The 23,824-nt window shown below is 41.2% G+C and overlaps 1 protein-coding gene and 1 pseudogene across 3 annotated transcripts in view, besides 1 other annotated feature; one reads left to right on the top strand and one right to left on the bottom strand.

Moving 5' to 3' along the window:
* ZNF44 (zinc finger protein 44) overlaps window positions 1-2,066 on the top strand; it is a 70,198-nt gene extending 68,132 nt beyond the window's left edge. The window contains exon 8 of the transcript XR_007066867.1: window positions 1,473-2,066. The gene's annotated coding sequence lies outside the window, so the exon portion shown is untranslated. The remainder of the gene's footprint in view (window positions 1-1,472) is intronic.
* LOC100289333 (uncharacterized) overlaps window positions 1-23,824 on the bottom strand; it is a 43,633-nt pseudogene that overhangs the window by 11,896 nt on the left and 7,913 nt on the right. Inside the window, exon 2 of one of the 2 annotated variants that reach the window (NR_104179.1) lies at window positions 19,178-19,420. The exons of the other annotated variant lie outside the window; for it this stretch is intronic. The product of NR_104179.1 is annotated as an uncharacterized LOC100289333, transcript variant 1 (transcript). Of the gene's footprint in view, window positions 1-19,177; window positions 19,421-23,824 lie in introns of those variants that run through there. 2 annotated transcript variants of the gene reach the window in all.
* Window positions 22,083-22,251: a silencer, noted in NCBI's record as "fragment chr19:12315316-12315484 (GRCh37/hg19 assembly coordinates)". NCBI's record gives its function as "represses an EF-1alpha promoter that drives an FKBP-Casp9 reporter gene in an ReSE screen in HepG2 liver carcinoma cells {active_cell/tissue: HepG2}" and the evidence as "EXISTENCE:reporter gene assay evidence [ECO:0000049][PMID:32094911]".

Raw genomic sequence — 23,824 nt, 5'->3', positions numbered from 1 at the left:
TTGCTAATTCTTTGTTTTGCTTTTCAAAGTCCAAGAATCTTTTCTTTTGAATTATTGACAGCTTTTAACAATTTAGTATGCTTCCATGAACAAAATTTGGAGCATTCTTGTTTCTCTCTACCTGATTTTCTCCAGAATTTGGAAACTATCTGTATGTATTCTTAAGTTAGGGTAATATAGTTATTTGCATAAGTGCAACAAGAATCTGTTTTCTTTTGTAACAGGACACAATTGGGAAAACTGGTTATTTTACCAAGGCTTTAACTGGAATGGTGTGCCTTCCTTTAAGGAATCAAATTTGACTTATGGAGCCAATAAAGCCCTTGGAAAGCTGGCCTCAGATTTCATGTACAGTCCCTGTACAGGGTTTCCGATCTGTGGTAAGTAAAGAATGTCACTTTCTGACAGGCCAGGAGTCCCAAGTTATCTTAGAACCTCAAGAAGAGAGGATTTCTCCCAACTCATAGGTATTCAGTGGTACAAATCTATGGCTGGCCTTGCCTTTAAAAAGGTCTTATCTCACATTCCTTCTACAAAACAAAGTTCCATCAAAGCCAATTTAAAGGACCTAAGTAACAAATAATTATTCTTGCTCCACTGTATGCAAATAACTAAGCCAAGTATAATAAAGAAAATCAGTCCTACTGGTATGATTTGTCTTTTAATGAAAATGGTAAACTTGAGAGAGAAAATTATGTTTCAAAAACGATAGCACACATGTTGTTAAATCCTGGTGTTGCCTAATGTTTTTCAATTCTTACTATTTTCTGTTTAAATTAAATTCTAATTTTTCTGGCTACAAGTTTCCAAAATAGCTGTGCTTTCTGAAAGCCCTATAAACTGAAAACTTGATGTTTCAGCAGGCGCTGCCTCTAAGCCCCCGACTCTCACCGGAGGAAATAAATAGGAAACCTTAAGCTAAAATAAGTAACCAAGAGAGAATTACTCATCCTATTCAGTCTCACCCCTACCTCATCAAATACTTTTATCGTTCCTACCTCTCCTTTTAAGCCAAATATTAAAACTTTTTAATGGAAATTATTTACTACGCCACCCGTGTGGGAATTGCTTTACTCACTCTACTATTTGCAGTAGGACTATATACTGTAGCACCCTCAGGGTAAAATATCAGACACAGAATCTCAATTACCATAGCATTTCGCTTAATTATTATCCTCATAGCGGGAATAATGGTTACTAACAGAAAATAACACATGGGCCTTTCCAAACCAGCACCTCTGCCTCTTATTAGGAAAGGAATGTTGTTTCTATATCAGCCAATCAGACCTAGTAAAAAGCGCTATTAAAAAAAACAAGCTAAAAAGCTAAGGAGTACCAAAACAAACAAACAGATTCTTGGTTTGGGAACAAAATCATAGATAGCATGGGTCATCCCATTCCTGGGCCCTCTCCTAATAATATACCTAATTATGGGACTAATGTTCTTACCCTGCCTAATTAACCTTTTTCAGAGATTTTTTAAACTGACAGGATCATGGCCATTTCACAGACAACTACCCAAAAATATCTACAGACGGCACTGCTCCTACCAACCCGATACCAGAGAACTCTCTGTCCCCTCGTCAGCAGGAAGTAGCCAGAAAGAACATGCCGCCCCTCGTCCTTTTTATAACTATGAGGTCTGGATTGACAGAGCAGAAGCATCACCATTGTGGATAAGCGCCTCATTTTAAAATTCACCTTAATCAAAAACTGCCTAAATCCAAAGGGCATCAGCCTAATGGCTAAGGTCAGCATGATCACAAACCACAAATAACATCTCCAACCAAAAACATTCCAGACACCTCCCACAGAGAAATGCTAGCCTCGGGATAACCCCTCTCCTGCCGGAAAGATGTCACCCCCAAGATAACCACCCCTCCGCCCAGAACATTCCAACCCTGCCACAAACTTCTCCCCCACACAGAAACATTCCAAGCTTGTAATAAGCTCCCTCACCCTAAAACCAACGTACATTCTTAGTCTGCAAGGAAAAGTGCTCCTGACTGACCAGCCAGAATCCTCTCTCAGGTCTTTTCTATAATAAACCTGTCTTTGACTGTCAAGCAGTGTTCGGTGTTTCTTTCCTCTTTTTTTTAATTTAATTTTTTTTTAAGACGGAGTCTTGCTCTGTTGCCCAAGCTGGAGTGCAGTGGCGTGATCTCAGCTCACTGCAAGCTCCACCTCCTGGGTTCAAGTGATTCGCCTGTCTCAGCCTTCTGAGTAGCTGGGATTACAGGCGCAGGCTGCCATGCCTGGCTAATTTTTTGTGTTTTAGTAGAAACGGTATCACCATGTTGCCCAGGCCGGCCTCGATCTCCTGAGCTCAGGCAGTCTGCCTGCCTTGGCCTCCCAAAGTGCTAGGATTACAGGTGTGAGCCACTGCGCCCAGCCTCTTTCCTCTTTAACTCTAACTCTTACACTAGAAAGAGAGAACCTTGTATCCTTGGCTACACAGTCTAGAGTGGAGTGTTCACCTCACTGGGGTGAGGATGTGGGGTACAGGATCAGGGAACAGTAAGGGTTTAAATACCACAAACTCACATTTCTCACAGAATTTTCACAGATTCTCTTGAATAGGTTTCCTCACTGGCTGTTTGCCTTTAGGATGACTTCAGGGGCTTTAAATGGTTGTTTTAAAGTAACTGTCATAAGTGTCTCTGGGGAGTGGGTTAGTGAAGCTCCTCATACTGTTACGCCATCCTAATGCCTTAAGATTCTGCCCAGATCAAAAAATGCCCTATATGTGATGGCAGTGCAACCTGTAATATCACTTGTAATTTAAGAACCAAATGTTTAAAATTATTTTTTTCATTTCTTTTTTTTGAGACATGTCTCGCTCTATTGCCCAAGCTGGAGTGCAGTGGCACAATCTCAGCTCACTGCAACCTCTGCCTCCCAAGCTCTAAGCCATCCTCCCACCTCAGCCTCCTAAGTAGCTGGGACTACAGGCACATGCCACCACACCTGGCTAATTTTAAAAATTTTTATAGAGATGGGGTTTTGCTATGTTGCCCTGGCTGGTCTCGAACTTCTGAGCTCAAGTGATAAAAAAATTTTTTTGTTAACGTTTATTTTTTAAAGATTCCTGGGATGGAATACACAAACCCACATCTCACAAACATCAGGAATCATATCACAAAAAAAATACATTTCAATTTACCTTCTTAATAATTTCAACTTTTAGATTCAGGGGGTACATATGCAGGTCTGTCACATGGGCACACTGTGACACTGAGGTTTGGGCTATGGGTGAGCCTGTCATCCTGGCAGTGAGCACAGCACCCAACAGGCATTCCCTCAGCCCTCACTCTCCACCATCCCTCCCCCTTCCAGCAGTCCCCAGCGTCCATTGCTCCCATCTTTATGTGCATAACAACTTTTTATGGTTTACAAAAACATACTGCTCACTTCATAAAACTTCTTTAGAGGACCATAAAACACAAAGAACTAGTTACCTGTTAAAAATTAGTCATTTGATTTATGAACTATTAAAATATACTTAATGCAAATTTTCTTAATCATTGTTTATAGTCAATGTTAAGATTCAAAAATTCAGCCTGAGGCTGGGCACAGTGACTCACATCTGTTTGGGAGGGTGAGGCCAAAGGATCACCTGAGGCCACTTCAAGACCAACCTGGGAAACATGGCAAGACCTTGTCTCTACAAAAAAAAAAAAAAAACAAAAAACCCTGTGTGTACACACACACACCCACCCACCCAAAACCCAGCCTGAGATTTAGAAGCAGTCTACCTGAAGGCTCACTCTTAGCATGTCCTCTAGCATTCGTGTCTAGTGGCCTCAGGTTCCCAAAGATAACAATTTTATTACTTTCTTGTCCGGCATTTACATAAAAAGCAATTTAAATTACATATTTTTCTTTCCTCACTATAAAAGGCAACATGGTTTACACACTTTGCTTTTTTGTTCATTTGAAAATAAATCCTGCAGCTTTTTCATATTCATTGGTGCCTTCCCTAATTTTTATAAAGGTTCACAAGATGATAGAAGTTGAGCCAGTTGTGTGGCTCACATGCCTGTAGTCCCAGTTCCTTGGGAGGCTGAGGTGGGAGGATCACTTGAACCCAGGACTTCAAGGCTGCAGTGAACTATGTGCCACTATACTTCCAGCGTGGGCAACAGAGTGAGACCCTGTCTCCCCCCAAAAAATGTTTTAATAAATATATTTTTTTAAAAGATGGAAGTTTATATAGTCAGTTCTCTATTAAACACTGAATATGTTCCCATTCTTTTGCTAGTCATTTCTTGCTGTAATCAAGATGAATAGCAATAGGTACAATCTAAAAGACTTAGAAATCTGTACTGAACTAAGGCAGTGAAATGAGAACTGGGAAGGTAGTTAGAAAACATGGCAAAATAAATATTTGAAAGTTATTTTTCAAACTTAAAGAATTATTTTTTTGGTAGAGATGGAGGTCTCACTATGTTGCCCAGACTGGTCTTGAACTCCTGGCCTCAAATGATCCTCCTGCCTTGGCCTCCCAAAGTGCTGGGATTACAGGCGTGAGCCACCACACTCAGCTGAATTATATTTTTATAGTGAAATATAGCATACTTCTTATAGAATGCGTAGAATGTTTTATGTTTAATCATAACTGTAAACTTCCGTAGACTGGGCACTCAGAATGAACAGACCCTGGGCATGTCACAGCTCCCAGTGCTGCTCCACCTTGACTTTGTTTCCCTCTTGTCCCCAGAGGTGACCACTGCCCTTAATTTTGTGGATATTCTTTATGGCTATGCCATTATTTTATCACCAAGCAGTGTTTTGCTTAAGTTTGCCTCTTTAGCACTTTCTGTGGAAGGAAATCATGGATGGGCGTCTCCTTGGTTTTTGTCCCAGTTGTTTCACACATGCTGGTGTCTGAGGCTTGGGCTACCCAATTTGCTCATCCATTCCAGTATCTATAGGATTCATGTTGCTTCAATTTTGTGTTTTGTTCTTATGGAAAATGCTGCTCTAATCATACTTTAAGTCCCCATGTGCCTGTGCACAGTAAATTCTCTATACATTAGAGAAAACTTGCTGGGTTGTAGATTCTGAGCAACTTTAAGATTGCCACCAAGTCCCAATGGAGTACATGAATTGACCGTCCCACCACTCTTGCATGTATATTTAGATAATTCTAGTGTTGCCAGTCGTGGAATAATGTATTTTTGCCTATCTAGTTTGTAGTTTGTGTGAAATGGGATCACTTTGTGATTTTTTTTTTTTTTTTTTTGAGACAGCGTCTTGCTCTGTTACCCAGGCTGGAGTGCAGTGGCGCAATCTCGGCTCACTGCAACCTCTGCCATTTGAATTACCACAGAAATGAATGTTCCTTTGTTTGCATCTTTGGAAGCATTTGGTGTTATATTTTGGAATTTAGCCATTCTGAGGTGTGTAGTGATACATATTCACCAAATGTTATAGGAATAATGAATAAAAACAGTTTTGCTTTCTGAAAAACAAGATGAGACCTTCCCTAACATACCTCAAATATTTTAAACTATAGAAAGGGACAGAGCAAGATGGCGGAATAGAAAGCTCCCCTGATCATCCTCCTGCAAGGACACCAAATTAACAACTATCACACAGAAAAAACACCTTCATGAGAACCAAAAATCAGGTAAGCACTTATAGTACCTGGTTTTAACTTCATATCGCTGAAAGAGGCAATGAAGCGATTTAAAAAACAGTCCTGAATCACCAACAGCACCCCTCTCCCACCCCCAGCAACAGCAGCATCATGCAGAGAGCAAGTCTAGGTGCTGTGGGAGGGAGAACACAGCAATTGTGAGGCACTGAACTCAGTGCTGTCCTGTTAGAGCAGAAAGGAAAATCAGACCAAATTCAGCTGATACCTGCCCACGGAGGGGCACTTAACCAGCCTTAGCCAGGGAGGAACTGCTGATCCCAGTGGTCTGAACTTAAGCACCTGCAAACCGCATTGCTGAGGGCTGCAGCACTCTCTCTCTCCAAGTAAAGTTGAAAGGCAGTCTAGCCCATGAGGACTGCAACTCTTAGGTGAGTCCTAGTGCTGAATTAGGCCCAGAGTCAGTGAACCGACAGGGGGCAGGGAGGGGTGGTGACATATGGGATCACCCCTCCTTTAACCCCAGGCTGCACAGCTGTCAGCTAAAAAAGAGACCCCTTCTACTTGAGGGAGGAGACAGTATTGGGGGGACTGTATCTTACATCTCGGATACCAGCCCAGCCACAGTAGGACAGGGCACTGGTCAGAATCAGGAGGCCCCTGTTCCAGGGCCTAGCTCGCGGACATTTCTAGACACACCTTGGGCCAGAAGGGAACCTACCGCCTTGAAGGGAAGGACCCAGTCCTGCCAGCAATCACCTGTTAACTGAAGAGCCCTTGGACCCTGAATAACCAGTAACGATACCCAGGCACTACATGAAGGGCCTTTGGTGAGCCTCTGAGACTTGCTGGCTTCAGGTGAGACTCAGCACATAACCAGTTGTGGTGGCTACAGAGGAAAACTCCTTCTGCTTGAGAAAAGCAGAGGGAAAAGTAAGGGGACCTTGTCTTGCACCTTAGGCACCAGCATGGCCACAGAGGGGCAGAGCACCAAGCAGGTTCTTGGGGCCCCTGATTCTAGAACTTGATTCTTCGATAGCATTTCTGGACCTGTCCTGGGCTAGAGGGGAGCCCACTGCCCTGAAGAGGCAGCATTCATGACAAGCTGACTTAAGAGACCTTTAGCCCTAAGGGAACATGAGCAGTAGCAGTACTCTGACAGAACTCCTTGTGGCTTGGGGCGGTGGCTATGGGGTGAGGTTCCTCTGCCTTTCGAGGGAAGGACTTGTGTAGTTTGAGTGCCAGCTCAGCCAAGCCACAATACAACAGGACACAAGGCAGACTTCTAAGGTTTTTTTCACTCTAATCCCTGACTACTGGACAGCACTTCTGGACTCACCTGGGGCTTAGGGGACCTCGTCACCCTGAAAGGAAGGACACAGGCCTGGCTGGTTTTGCCATCTGCTGATTGTAGACCCCAGGGGCCTTCAGTGAACACAGGCAGTAGCCAGGGAGTGGTTACAGCAGGCCTTGGGCAAGACGCAGCGCTGGCTTCAGGTCTGACCCAGTGCAGTCACAGTGGTGGTGGCCACAGGGATGCTGGTGTCATTCCACCCTCAGCCTTGGGTGGCTTAGAACAGAGAGAGAAAGAAACTATGTTTGGGAGATCATAAGGAAAGAGACCAAGAGTCTCTGCCTGGTAATCCAGAGAATTCTCCCAGATTTTGTCCAAGACCATCAAGGCAGCACCTCTATGAGTATGCAAGAACCACAGCATACTGGGTTTGGGGTGCCCCCTAAAGCAGATATAACTTAGATATCTAGAAAGCGTTCCCTAAGAAGGACAGCTACAAATAAGCCCAGACAGTGAAGACCAAAATAAATACCTAACCCTTCAATGCCAAGACACCAAAGAACATCTACTACCATTAACACCATCCAGGAAAACATAACCTCACCAAATGAACTAAATAAGGCACCAGGGGACCAATCCTGGAGAAACAGATATGTGATCTTTCAGACAGAATTCAAAATAGCTGTGTTGAAGAAACTTAAAGAAATTCAAGGGAACACAGAAAAGGAATTCAGAATTCTATTAGATAAATTTAACATAGAAATTGAAATAATTAAAAATTGAGCAGAAATTCTGGAGCTGAAAAATGCAACTGGCTTACTAAAGAATGTATCAGACTCCTTTAGTAGCAGAATTGATCAAACAAGAAAGAATTAGCTTGAAGACAGGCTATTTGGAAATATACAGTCAGGAGACAAGAAAAATGAGTAAGAAACAAGCACATCTACAGGATCTAGAAGATAGCCTCAAAAGGGCAAATCTAAGATTTAATTAAAGAGGAAGTAGAAAAAAGGTTGTAGAAAGTTTATTCAAAGTGATATCAGAGAACTTCCCAAACTAGAGATATGTATCAGTATCCAAGTACAAAAAGGTTATAAACCACCAAGCAGATTTAACTCAAAGAAGACTACCTCAAGGCATTTCATAATCAAACTCCCAAAGTTCAGGGATAAAGAAAGGATCCTAAAAAGCAACAAGAGAAAAGAAACAATAACATACAATGGAGCTCCAATACATCTGGCAGCAGACTTTTCAGTGGAAACCTTACAGGCCACCAGAGAGTGGCAATACATATTTAAAGCGCTGAAGGAAAAAACTTTTACCCTAGAAGAGTATATCTGGTGAAAATATCCTTCAAGCATGAAGAAGAAATAAAGACTTTCCCAGATAAAAGCTGAGGGATTTCATCAATACCAGACCAGTCCTACAAGAAATGCTAAAGGAAGCACTTCAATCAGAAAGAAAAGGACATTAATGAGCAATAAATAATCGCCTGAAGGTTCAAAACTCACTAGTAATAGTAAACAGGAAAATACAGAATATTGTAACATTGTAACTGTGCTATGTAAACTACTTTTTTTTTTTTTTTTAGACAGAGTCTCGCTCTGTTGCCAGGATGGAGTGCAGTGGCACGATCTCAGCTCACTGCAACCTCCAACTCCCTGGTTTAAGTGATTCTCCTGCCTCAGCCTCCTGAGTAGCTGGGATTACAGGCACACACCACCATGCCCAGAAAATTTTTGTATGTTTAGTAGAGATGGGGTTTCACCATGTTGCCCAGGATGGTATCGATCTCCTGACTTCATGATCCACCCACCTCGGCCTCCCAAAGTGCTGGGATTACAGGCATGACCACCGTACCCAGCCCATAAACTACTCCTGTCCTAAGTAGAAAGACTTAAACAGTGAACAACTCAAAAATAATAAACATAATTTTTCAAGACATAGTACAATTAGATATAAATAGAAACAACTAAAAGTTAAAAGGGGGTGAACCAAGTTGTAGAGTTTTTATTTTCTTTTTGCTTGTTTATGCAAATGGTGTTATCAGTTCAAAACAATGAGTTAAAATATAGTATTTACAAGCTTCATGGTAACCTTAAACCGAAAAAACAATGGATACACAAAAAATAAAAAGACACTGAATCTTATCACCAGAGAAAATCACCTCCACTAGAGGAAGACAGGAAGAAAGGAAAAGAGGAAGAGAAGACCACTAAACAACCAGAAAACAAATAACAAAATGGCAGGAGTAAGTCCTTATTTATCAATAACAATAATATAAATGGACTAAACTCTGCAATCCAAAGACACAAACTGGCTGAATGGATGAAAAACCAAAACCCATTGATCTGCTGCCTACAAGAAATACACTTCACCTATAAAGACACACACAGACTGAAAATAAAGGGATGGAAAAAGATATTCCATGCTAATGGAAACCAAAAAAGAGCAGTAGTTGCCATACTTATATCAGACAAAATAGATTTCAAGACAAAAACTGTTAAGAAGAAACAAAGAAGGTCACTATATAATAATAAAGGGGTCAGTTCAGCAAGAGGATATAACAGTTGTAAATATATATGCACCCAACACTGGAGCACACAGATATAAAAAGGAAAGATTATTAGAGCTAAAGAGAGAGGCCCTGATACAATAAGAGCTGGATACTTCAACACCCCACTTTCAGACTTAGATCTTCCAGACAGAAAATCAATGAAGAAACATCAGACTTAATCTGCACTATAGATCAAATGGATCTAATAGATATTTACAGAACATTTCATCCAAAAGCTGCAGAATATACCTTCTTTTCCTCAGCACATGGATCATTCTCAAGGATAGGCCATATATAGTTCACAAAATGAGTTTTAAAACATTCAAAAAGGCCACGCACAGTGGTTCACATCTGTAATCCCAGCACTTCGGGAGGCCAAGGTGGGCAGATCACGAGGTCAACAGATTGAGACCATCCTGGCCAACATGGTGCAACCCTGTCTCTACTAAAAATACAAAAATTAGCTAGGTGTGGTGGCATGCACCGGTAGTCCCAGCTACTTGGGAGGTTGAGGCAGAAAAATCACTTGAACCCGGAAGGCGGAGTTTGCAGTGAGCCGAGATTGCGCCACTGCACTCCAGCCTGGTGACAGAGCGAGACTCTGTCTAAAAATAAATAAATAAATAAAAATTTAAAAATTTAAAAAAATACTGAAATAATATCAAGCATCTTCTCTGACCACAATGGAATAAAACTAGAAATAAATAATGAGGAATTTTGGAAACTATACAGATACATGGAAATTAAACAATATGCTACTGAATGACCAGTGGGTCAATGAAGAAATTAAGAAAATGGGACAACTTCTTGAAACAAATGATAATGGCAACACAACATGCCAAAACCTATGGGATACAGCAAAAGCAGTACTCAGAGGGAAGTTTATAGCTACTACATGCCTACATCAAAAAAGAGGAAGAGGCCAGGCGCGGTGGCTCACACCTGTAACCCCAGCACTTTGGGAGGCCGAGGCGGGTGGATCACGAGGTCAGGAGATCGAGACCATCCTGGCTAAAACGGTGAAACCCCGTCTCTACTAAAAATACAAAAAATTACCTGGGCGTGGTGGCGGGTGCCTGTAGTCCTAGCTACTCGGGAGGCTGAGGCAGGAGAATGGCATGAACCCGGGAGGCGGAGCTTGCAGTGAGCCGAGATCCTGCCACTGCACTCCAGCCTGGTGACAGAGTGAGACTCCATCTCAAAAAAAAAAAAAAAAAAAAAAAAAAGAGGAAGAACTTGAAACAATCTAACAATGCATCTTGAAGATCTAGAAAACAAAAGCAAACCAAACCCAAAATTGGTAGAAGAAAAGAAATAATAAAGATTAGAGCAGAAGTAAATGAAAATACAAAAGACCATTTTTTTTTTTTTTGAGACGGACTCTTGCTCTGTAGCCCAGGCTGGAGTGCAGTGGTGCGATCTCAGCTCACTGCAATCTCCGCCTCCCAGGTCCCAGTTCAAGCAATTCTCCTGCCTCAGTCTCCCTAGTAGCTGGGATTACAGGAACACGCCACCACACCCAGCTAATTTTTGTATTTTCAGTACAGCCAGGGTTTCACCATGTTAGCCAGGCTAGTCTTGAACTCCTCACCTCGTGATCTGCCCACCTCAGCCTCCTAAAGTGCTGGGATTGCAGGCATGAGCTACTGCGCCTGGCCAAAACATCAATTTTTTAAGTTAAACAAAATTGACAAACATTTAGCCAGACTAAATAAGAAAAAAAGAGGATCCAGATAAATTAGAAATGAAAAAGAAGACAAACGATATTACAAAAATTCAAAGCAGTAGTGGCTACTATGAGTAACTATATGCCAATAAATTGGAAAAAATAGAAAAAATGTAAAAAATTCCTAGATACATACAACCTACTGAGATTGAATCAGGAAGAAATCCAAAACCTGAACAGACCAATAACAAGTAACAAGATTGAAGCCATAATAAAAAGTCTCCCGGTAAAGAAAAACTCAGAACCCAACGGCTTCACTGCTGAATTCTACCAAACATTTAAAGAACTAATACCAATCCTACTCAAACTATTCCAAAAAACAGAGTAGGGAATACTTCCAAACTCAATCTGCAAGGCCACTATTACCTTGATAACAAAACCAAAGGCACATCAAAAAAAACAAAACTATAGGCCAATATCACTGATGAATATTGATGTAAAAATCCTCAACAAAATACCAACCAAATTCAACAACACATCAGAAAGAGCATTCATCATGACCAAGTGGGATTTATCTCTGGGATGCAAGGATCAACCTATGTAGATGAACCAGTGTGATACATTGCATGACCTGAATGATGGATAAAAACCATACGATCATTTCAACTGATCCTGAAAAAGCATTTGATAAAATTCAACATCCCTTCATAATAAAAACCCTCAAAAAAGTGGGTATAGAAGGAACATACCTCAACATAATCACAACCATATATGACAGACCCATAGCTAGTATCATACTGAATGGGGGAAAACTGAAAGCGTTTTCTCGAAAGATCTGGAACACAAAAAGGATGCCCACTGTCACACTGTCATTGAACATGGTACCAGAAGTCCCAGCTAGAGCAATCGGACAAGAGGAAAATACAAAGGGCATCCAAATTGGAAAGGAAGAAGTCAAATTATCTGTTTGCTGATTATATGACATTATATTTGGAAAAACCTAAAGAATTCACAAGAAAACAATTAGAACGAATAAACAAATTCAGTAAAGTTGCAAGATACAAAATCAACATACAAAACTAGTAGCATTTCTATGTCAACAGTGAACAATGTGAAAAAGAAATAAGAAATTAATCCCATTTACAACAGCCACATGTAAAATTAAATTTTACCAAGAAACCAACTTAACCAAAGAAGCGAAAGATCTCTATAATAAAAACTATAAAACACTGAGGAAAGAAATTGAAGAGGACACCAAAAAATGGAAAGATATTCCATGTTCATGGATTACACGAATCAATAGTGTTAAAATGTCCACACTACCTAAAGCAATCTACAGATTCAATGCAATCCCTCTCAAAATACCAAGGACATTCTTCACAGAAATAGAAAAAAAAAACCCTAAAATTTATATGGCACCATAAAAGACACAGAATAGCCAAAACTATCCTAAACCAAAAGAACAAAACTGGAAGAATCACATTACCTGACTTCAAATTACACTACAGAGCTATAGTAACCACAACAGCATGGTACTGGCATGAAAGGAGACACATAGACCAATGGAACAGAAGAGAACCCAACAATAAATCAATACACCCACAGTGAACTCATTTTTGACAAAGGTGCCAAGAACATACACTGGGGAAAGGCAGTCTCTTCAACAAATGGTGCTGGGAAAACTGGATATCCATGTACAGAAGAATGAAGCTAGATCCCTACCTCTCACCATATACAAAAATTGAAATGGATTAAAGACTTAGATATAAGACCTCAAACTATAAAACTACTACAAGAAAACACTGGGCAAAATCTCCAGGACACTGGTCTACGCAAAGATTTATTGGGCATACCCCACAAGCACAGGCAACCAAAGCAAAAATGGACAAATGGTATCACATCAAGTTACAAAAGTTTCTGCATAGCAAAAGATACAATCAATAAAGTGAACATACAACCCACCGAGTGGGAGAAAATATTTATTTGCAAACTACCTCTCTGACAAGGGGTTAATAACCACAATATATACAGAGCCCAAACAACTCTATAGGAAGAAAATCTAATAATCTGGTCAAAAAATAGGCAAAGGATTTGAATAGACATTTCTCAAAAGAAGACATACAAATGGCAAACAGGCATATGAAAAGCAACATAGCAAGACCCTGTGTCTACAAAATATACAAAAATCAGCCAGGTGTGGTGGCATGCACCTGTAGTCCCAGCTACTTGGGAAGCTGAGGTGGGAGGATTGCTTGAGCCCAGGAGTTTGGAGACTACAGTGAGTTATGATCATGCCACTGCACTCCAGCCTGGGCAACAGAGCAAGACTACATCTGTATTTTTTAAAAACTTCTAAACCATGATCAAGTGAGATTTATCTCCAGAATGCAAACAGTGCATCCTATGAAAATCGGTCAATATAATATACCACATTAGCCGAATGACGGAAAAATCACAGTAATCTCAATTGATACACAAAAGGCATCTGACAAAATTCAAGACCCGTTGATGATAAACAACAAACTAGGAATGGGAGGAAACTAGGTCAATGTAATAGGCCATATATGAAGAATCTACAAGACTATCATACTTAATGGTGAAATATAAACATGGTGATCTTTTCCCCTAAGATCAGAAACAAGATAGGATAACTGCTTTCACCACTTCCATTCAATATAGTACTGGAAGAGCTAGTCAGAGTAATTAGGTAAGAAAAAGAAAAGGCATCCAGTTGGGCGCAGTGGTTCACGCCTGTAATCCTAGCACTTTAGGAGGCTGAGGCGGGTGGATCACCTGAGGCCAGGAGTTCAAGATCAGCCTGTCCAACATGATGAAAACCCGTCTCTACTAAAATACAAAAATTACCTGGGCATGATGGCGGGTGCCTGTAATCCCAGGTACTCGGGAGGCTGAGACGGGAGAATTGCTTGAACCCGGGAGACGGTGGTTGCAGTGAGCCAAGACTGCACCACTGCACTCCAGCCTGGGTGGCTCAGTGAGACTCTGTCTCAGAAAAAAAAAAAAAAGAAAAACAAAAGGCATCCAAATGGGCAAGGAAGAAATAAAATTATGTTGGCAGATGACATAATCCTATGTGTAGAAAATCCTAAAGATTACATACACATATATGTACACAAAAACTGAACTCATAAATGAATTCAGCAAAGTTGCAGGGTACAAAATTAACATTTAAAATTACATTTTTTTTTTGAGACGGAGTCTCGCTCTGTTGCCCAGGCTGGAGTGCAATGGTGCGATCTTGGCTCACTGCAACCTCCACCTCCCAGGTTCAAGCGATTCTCCTGCCTCAGCCTCCTGAGTAGCTGGGATTATAGCTGCCCACCACCAGGCCCGGATAATTTTTATATTTTTTAGTACAGACGGGGTTTCACCATGTTGGTCAGGCTGGTCTCAAACCCCTGACCTCATGATCCACCCGCCTCAGCCTCCCAAAGTGCTGGAATTACAGGTGTGAGCTACTGCACCCAGCCTAAAATTACATTTCAATACACTAACAGTTAATAATCTGAAAAGGAAATTAAGAAAACAATTACATTAGTAATAACATCAAAAAGAATAAAACAGGCCAAGCACAGTGGCTCACACCTGCAAAATCAGCACTTTGGAAGGCCCAAGGTGGGAGGATCACTTGAACCCAGAAGTTCAAGACAAGCCTGAGCAACAAAGTGAGACCTCATACTACAAAAAAAAAAAAAAAAAAAATTGGCTGGACGTGCTGGCCTGTGCCTGTACTCCCAGCTACTGGGAGGCTGAGATGGGAGGACCACTTAAGCCCAGGAGGTTGAGACTGCAGTGAGCCATGATTTCACCACTGCACTACAGTGCAGTGACAGAATGAGACCCTGTCTCAAAACAAAAACAAAAACAAAAAAACAGCTAGCTATAGTGACACAGACATGCAGTCCTAGCTACTGAAGATCCTAAGATGGGAGAACAGCTTGAGCCCAGGAGTTTGAGACTAACCTGGACAACGCAGCAAAACGCCATGACAAAAAATTAACCAAAAAAGCAAAAGACTTGTATACTGAAAACTATAAAACGTTACTGAAAGAAATTAAAGCTATAAATAAATGGAAAGACATTCTGTGTTCATAATTTAAAAGACTTAATTTTGTTAAGGTGTCAATATATTACTGCAAATGCTCTACAAATTCAAAGCAATCATTATCAAAAGGCCCATGACATTTTTTTCTGGAAACAGAAACACTCATCCTAAAATTCACAGGGAATCTCAAAGGACCCCAAATAGCCAAAACAATCTTGAAAAAGAACAACAGGCTGGACATGGTGACTCACGCCTGTAATCCCTGGACTTTGGGAAGCCAAGGTGGGTGGATCACCTGAGGTCAGGAGTTCGAGACCAGCCTGGCCAACATGATGAAACCTCGTCTCTACTAAAAACACAAAAAATTAGTTGGGTGTGGTGGCATATGCCTGTAATCCCAGCTACTCAGGAGGCTGAGGCAGGAGAATCGATTGAACCTGGGAGGCGGAGGTTGCAGTGACCCGAGATCACACCACTGCACTCCAGCCTGTGCAACAAGAGCAAAACTCCGTCTCAAAAAAAAAAAGAAAAACAACAACAAAGCTGGAAGCCTCACTCTTCCTAGTTTCAAAACTTACTCTAAGTTTTGGCTGGGCACGGAGGCTCATGCCTGTAATCCTAGCACTTTGGGAGGCTGAGGCAGGCAGATCACCTGAGGTCGGGAGTTCGAGACCAGCCTTACCAACAAGGAGAAACCCCATCTCTACTAAAAATACAAAAAAATAAGCCGGGCATGGTGGCCCATGCTTGTAATCCCAGCTACTCGGGAGGCTGAGGCAGGAAAATCGCTTGAACCAGGGAGGCGGAGGTTGCAGTGAGCCGAGATCGAGCCATTGCACACACACAAAATTAGCTGGGTGTGGTGGCACATGCCTGTAATCCCAGCTACTCAGGAGGCTAAGGCAGGAGAATAGATTGAACTTGGGAGGCAGAGGTTGCAGTGACCCGAGATCACACCACTGCAGTCCAGGCTGTGTAACAAGAGCAAAACTCTGTCTCAAAAAAAAAAAAAAAAAAAAAAGAAAAGAAAAGAAAAAGAGAACAACAAAGCTGGAAGCCTCACTCTTCCTAGTTTCAAAACTTACTCTAAGTTTCAGTAATCAAAATAGTGTGGTGTTGACATGACATAAAGGCAGATATATAGAGCAATGGAGGCCGGGTGTGGTGGCTCACGCCTGTAATCCCATCACTTTGGGAGGCCAAGGTGGGCAGATCATTAGGTCAGGAGTTCAAGACCAGCCTGGCCAACATAGTGAAACCCCGTCTCTATTAAAACTGCAAAAAAATTAGCCGGGCGTGGTGGCGGGCACCTGTAATCTCAGGCTGAGGCAAGGAGAATCGCTTGAACCTGGGAGGCGGAGGTTGCAGTGAGCCAAGATCGCGCCACTGCGCTCCAGCCTGGGTGACAGTGCGAGACTCCGTCTCAAGAAAGAAAGACAAAAAAAAAAAAACAGAGCAAAGGAATAGAATAGAGACTTCAGAGAGATACCCTTAATTTAAATCAGACTTAAGCCCACAGTCCTGAAACCCTCTAAAGCAACCACTGCCATGAGGGAGGCCCATAACCATGATGACACTGACTTGAGGCTCTCTAGAGAATGAAGGATATAAATATAAGTAGGGTACACAGAACACCCCTCTCCCTCACCCTGCAATCACCAAAAGAAAAAAGAAAAAAATTGAGACAAAGGTCCATAATTTGATCAAATTAGAAATCCAAAGTTTATTAAAATAACAGCAAAAAAATAAATGGGTGCTGACTGGGTTTCACACCTCTACAAAACAGGCTCCGAATTAACTTCAACATCCGTTGAAATGCATCAGTTGGCAAATTTCCATGTCCTTAATCAATACTGGGGCTTAAATTACAGTTTTACCTTAAGATACCATTGAATTTAAACATGGCACCCCCTCCCCCAGTATAACCTTATAGCAAATTCCTGAATAACAAACAGGTATGCCTCAACTTGCCTTTATTGGATTTCTTTCTAGTGAGAATTTTCACATGACTTTGACAGTATTTGTTAAAACTGAAAAACTTCCTGTATTTCTCACATTTGTAAGCTTTATATCTAGCACATTCTTATTGCATGTTTTTGTAAGGAGGTGGGCAAGTTGAAAACTCCCACTTTACTTACATTCAAGAAGTTTTCTGCCAGGGTGTATTTTTTCATGGCTTCTAAATGAACTGGGATGACTGAAGGCTTTTCCACATTCTTTACACTTTATAGGGCTTCTCTCCAGTGTGCATTCTCATGTGTCCTTGAAAAGTTGTACAATAAATGAAAGCTTTGCCACACTGCTTGCATACATAGGGTTTCTCTCCAGTGTGGGTTCTTTCATGTATTCAAAAGGAATTGTGCCAAATGAAGGCTTTACCACATCGTTTACATACGTGGGGTTTCTCTCCACTATGACTTCTTTCATGTATTCTAAAGGAACTGGAACAACTGAAGGCTTTACCACATTGTTTACATTCATACGGTTTCTCTCCAGTGTGAGTCCTTTCATGGATTTGAAATGAATTAAGACAATTGAATGCTTTCCCACATTCGTTACATTTATAAGGTGCATCTCCAGTATGCATTATCATGTGCATTTGAAAGCTTGCAAGAGAAAGGAAGGCTTTCTCACATTGTTCACATTTATAAGGTTTCTCTCCAGTGTGAATATTCATGTGTCCTTTTAACGTAGTTCGATAAATGAAGGCTTTCCCACATTCGTTACATTCACAGGGTTTCTCTCCAGTGTGAGTTCTTTCATGTACTCGAAAGGAACCAAGCCAACTGAAGGCTTTACCACATTGTTTACATTCATATGGTTTTTCTCTAGTGTGAATTCGTTCAGGTACTTGAAATGAACTAGGACAACTGAATGCTTTTCCACACTCCTCGCATTTATAAGGTCCATCTCCACTGTGCATTATCATGTGTCTTTGAAAGCTTGCAAGGTAAATAAAGGCTTTTCCACATTCCTTACATTCATAGGGTTTCTCTCTAGTGTGAGTTCTTTCATGTATTTGGAAACCTGTAAGAGTACTGAAGGTTTTTCCACATTTTTTACATTCATAGGGCTTTTCTCCAGTGTGAGTCCTTTCATGTCTAAGAACAGATTGACGATAACTGAAGGGTTTCCCACATTGTTTACATTTATAGGGTTTCTCTTCACTGTGATTTCTTTCATGTTTTTTAAATGACTGGAAATAACTGAAGGCCTTCCCACATTCCTTACATCTATACGGCTTTTCTCCATAATCTTGACACTCATATGGTTTGTGTCCAGTGTGAGATCTGATGTGCCTATTAAGGGATGAATGACAAATGAAGACTTTTCCACACACACTGCATTCACATGGATTTACTCCAGGAGGAGTTTTCATACTCAGATTAAAATTTAGATCTGGCTGAAGTTTTCTTCACTTTGATTAGCTAATCCATCTATTTTCACACACAGTCTGTCTACAATACATGACTTTTGTAAGAAATGATAATGATTTCTTTAGTAAAGATTTTATATTTATTAATAGGTAAAGGAATTACATTTTTTACCATTTTCAGAAATTAAAACTTCAGTCCTGCCTGAATTGTTTGAAGATGAATAGACTGAATGTTCTGGAAGAGGGCTCAACCACAGGTAATATCAAAACAGTAATATTCATAAATGGAGTTTCTTAATATTGCTATCAAATGAACTACTTTTCAAACACTGAATATCTATGTCATATTTAAGTAAACACTTTGGGTAAAAATTTTCCAAGAATAAGCCACATTTGAAGGTGGGCTTATTTGTTTTCTTTGCTTGTTTTTAAAACTTCATGACACACTAAGTCTCTCTCATGGAACTCTTATTAGTGCCACTCACCTTAGACTTCTTTCTTGGTTTTTGGACTGATCTTCAATGTTATGCTCTTCACATTTTTTCCCTATGATGCAGACCCAGAAAAATCATTGGAAATCATTATTAATTATAGAAAAACTATTAGATTCTAGATCTAATTAGCTGTCACCATGCTTGGTTTATTTACTGAAGTATTCCCTTTCCACATGCCAGGTCTTGAAATATCGTTGATGGGCAACTTGTTCTCTAAGTGAAGGAATGTTGTCGTCATCACCTACTGAAGCCAGGTTCCTATAGGTTTCCAGCATCACATCTCTGTAGAGTTTTTTCTGCCAAGGATCCAGCAAAGCCCACTCCTCCTGGGTGAAGTTCACTGCCACATCCTCAAAGGCCACTGAGTCCTAAAACATCCCACATATGTGTAGAGGAAAATGGGTGAGACTGACAGGGCTGGGGATCTATAATCAATTTGTAAGATAATCACATGACTCTGTGATCCCAAAATATTTATTTTATTACTATGTCATCAGAAGACATTCTCTGCCCACAGCCACTCATAAATTCACCAGCATCATGGAGACATGGAAATTATTTCTACATTTTTGCTGTGATCACTTCACATCTTACTGCTAATGACAGGGTAGAAGGCACCTTGGTGAAATGACAGAAATGGTACACTAAAGAAGCAATAAGATGCTTCAGCACCTTGTGAGAAAAACTCTTTTCTCTCTTCTCATATTACCTACCATATCACATAACAGTCTATGAAGCAAACAGTTGAATCTAGACAAGATTTTAATGAATAAAAACAGTGACTACTCAGGAGGCTGAGGCAGAGAATCACTAGAGCCACGAGTTTGAGAGCAGCCTGGGCAACACAGTAAGACCCTGTCACAAAACAAACAAAAAAACAAAAACAAAGCAAAAAAAAAAACAAAAACAAAACACACACAATGAAAAACTGGAAGCACCCAAGTCCTCTCCTACAATGCACCTGCAGACCTTGTCATCACAAAGTCCTACTACCTAGTGTGCAGACAGAAGTTCATATAACACTCCTAAGACTGCTTACCTTTAGAAATGCCAGCTTGCACTATTCACAATAGCACAGACATGGAATCAACCTAAATGCCCATCAATGACAGATTGGACAAAGAAAATGTGGTACACATACACCATGGAATACTATGCAACTATAAAAAAAGAATGAGATCATGTCTTTTGCAGGAACATGAATGGAGCTGGAGGCTATTATCCTTAGCAAACTAATGCAGGAACAGAAAACCAAATACTGCACGTTCTCACTTATAAGAGGGAGCTAAATGATGAGAACTGATGAACACAAAGAAGGAAACAACACACAATGGGGTCTACTTGACAGTGGAAGGTGGGAGGAGGGAGAGGAGCAGAAAACATAACTATTGGATACTGGGCTTAGTATCTGGGTGATGAAATAATCTGTACAACAAACCCCCATGACACAAGTTCACCAATGTAACAAACCTTCACATGTACCCCCAAACCTAAAATAAAAGTTATTTTTAAAAAAAAAAAAAAAGAAGAAAAAAAGAAATGCCCACTTGTCAGCCTGGGCAACATGGCAAAATTCTGTCTCTACAAAATATATAAAAGTGAGTTGGGCATGGTGGTGCGTGCTTGTAGTCCCAGCTACTTGGGAGGCTGAGACGGTAGGATTGCTTGAGCCCAGGAGGTCAAGGCTGCAGCGAGCCATGATTGCTCCACTGCACTCCAGCCTGGGCGACAGAGCGAGACACTCTCTCAAACAAACAAACAAACAAACAAAAAGACTACTCTGGGCAACATAGTGAGATTCTGTCTCTACAAAATATAAAAATAAATAAAGAAGTTTAGGCCGGGTGCGGTGGCTCATGCCTGTAATCCCAGCACTTTGGGAGGCCGAGGCCGGTGGATCACGAGGCCAGGGGTTTGAGACCAGCCTGACCAACCTGGTGAAACCCTGTCTCTACTAAAAATACAAAAATTAGCTGAACGTGGTGGCGGGTGCCTGTAATCCCAGCTACTCAGGAGGCTGAGGTAGGAGAATTGCCTGAACCCGGGAGGCGAAAGTTGCAGTGAGCCGAGATTGCACCACTGCACTGCAGCCTGGGCAACAGAGCAAGACTCCGTCTCAAAAAAAAAAAAAAAGTTTAATTTAAAAGACCATTTAAATTCATGACTCATTGGTTCAGACCTTCTCTCACTATGGAATATTTTAGGGCAATAAGTGCTATGACAATGAGGAACTGAGAATTTAGGCATGAAAAAAACTATTCTGTTGGTTAAAGTGAGCAATATCTAATTTGTGCTCCACTTTATATTCAGTAACTTATAAGATTATCAGGGGTATCTTGCTTAAATTTAGTGGGATACCCAGGTATAACTATAATTTGAGTCCTAGTATTGATTAATCCCATAAAGGGTTATCAACTAATGCATTAGAGCAGATGTCAAAATTAATTCAGAATCTATCTTGTACAGGCCCCAAGGCCAAGCAGACGTAACATTTTTGTTTTGTAAATTCTTATAGCCAGGCATAGTGGCTCATGCCTGTAATCCCAGCACTCTGGGAGGCTGAGGTGGGCAGATCACAAGGTCAAGAGATCGAGACCAGCCTGACCAACATGGAGAAACCCCGTCTCTACTAAAAATACAAAATTAGCCAGGCGAGGGGGTGCACGCCTGTAGTCCCAGCTACTCGGGAGGCTGAGGCAGGAGAATCGCTTTAACCTGGGAGGCGGAGGTTGCAGTGAACCGAGATCGCATCATTGCACTCCAGCCTGGGAGACAGAGCAAGACTCCATCTCAAAATGAAAGAGATATGAAAGAGAGAAAAGAGAGAGAGAGAAGAGAAAAGAAAGAAAAGGAGAAAGAAACAAAGAAAAGAACCACCACAATCACTAATGCCATCCATCCTCCTTTACACCATCACACCTACCTCGTCCTAACCCTTGCATATGAATCCCTCTCTCTACACCCCACTTCTTAATACCCCATTTCTGAATATAAATATAGGAGTATTATTTATTCTAGCCACATCAAGTTTAGCCAGCTACCACCCCCCCTTTTTTTTTTGGAGACGGAGTCTTGCTGTGTCGTCCACGCTGGCGTGCAGTGGCACGACCTCGGCTCATTGCAACCTCTGCCTCCCGCATCTACCCTATTTTATCATCAGGATGAGCATCCAATTCAAAATATGCACTAATTGGCACAATCCGAGCGGTAGCCCAGACAATCCCACAGAAGTTGACTTAGCCATTATTCTCCTAACAGTTTTCTTGATAAGCGGGTCACTTTATCAACTCTTATCATCACACAAGAATTTGGATAATTAATTCTACCAACATGACCCCTGGCCATAGTAGGATTCATTTCAATGCTAGCAGAAACTAACTGAGCCCCATTTGACTTAACACAAAACAAATCAGAACTAGTCTTGGCCTTCAATGTCTACTATCCCTATTTTTCATAGCAGAATACACTATTATAATAAATGCCCTAACTGCTACTATTGTCCTAGGAACATTACCTATCTTCACGCTAGAAATATACACATGGTCAGGCATGGTGGCTCTCACCTGTAATCCCAGCACTTTGGGAGACCGAGGTGGGCAGATCACTTGAGGCCAGGAGTTCAAGACCAGCCTGGCCAAAATGGAGAAACCTCATCACTACTAAAAATATAAAAATTAGCCAGGCGTAGTGGCATGCACTTGTAGTTCCAGCTATCCGAGAGGCTGAGGCAGGAAAATCGCTTGAACCCAGGAGGCTCCGAGGTTGCAGTGAGCTGAGATTGCACCACTGTACTCCAGCCTGGGCAACAGAGCGAGACTCCATCTCAAAACAAAAACAAAAAACAACAACAAAAGGAAATATACACAATTTTGTTATTAAAATGCTTCTATTAACAATTTTATTCTTATGAATTCAGGTATCATACTCCCAATTTTGGTATGATCAACTAATGCATCTTCTGTGAAAAAACTGTTTACCTCATATATGAGCCCTATGCATATGACCTATCTCAATGCCCAGGCTGGGCAGTGGCTCACGTCTGTAATCTCAGCACCCTGGGAAGCCAAGCTGGGCATATCACTTGAGGTCAGGAGTTCGAGACCAGCCTGGCCAACATGGTGAAACCCCATCTCTACTAAACATACAAAAATTAGCCAGGGATGGTGGCCTGCGCCTGTAATCCCAGCTACTCGGGAGGCTGAGGCAGAAGAATTGCTTGAACCCTGGAGGCGGAGGCTGCAGTGAGCTAAGATGGTGCCACTGCACTCCAGCTAGATAGACAGAGCGAGACTCTGTCTCAAAAAAAAAAAAAAAAAAATCGGCCAGGTGCAGTGGCTCACACCCATAATCCCAGCACTTTGAGAGGAGACGGGTGAATCACCTGAGGTCAGGAGTTCGAGACTAGCCTGGCCAACATGGTGAAACCCCGTCTCTACTAATAATACAAAAAAATTAGCTAGGCGTGGTGGCACACGCCTATAATCTCAGCTACTTGGGAGGATGAGGCAGGAGAATCGCTTGAACCCGGGAGGCAGAGGTTGCAGTGAGCCGAGATGGTGCCATTGCACTCCAGCCTGGGCAACAAGCGAAACTCCGTCTCAAAAAATAAATAAATAAATAAATAATAAAAAAATAAAAATAAATAAAAAATAAAGCAATGCCCATCCTAATATTTAGCATCCCACCACAAACATAAAAAATATGTATGATAAGTTACTTTAATAGAGTAAATCAGTAAACCACAGAGGTTTAAACCCTCTTATTACTAGCAT

Source organism: Homo sapiens, chromosome 19 (assembly GCF_000001405.40).
Source record: "Homo sapiens chromosome 19, GRCh38.p14 Primary Assembly".
NCBI classification, from domain to species: Eukaryota; Metazoa; Chordata; class Mammalia; order Primates; family Hominidae; genus Homo; species Homo sapiens.
Note: the sequence above shows the minus strand (reverse complement) of the source record. Positions and strands in the feature narration are given on the sequence as shown.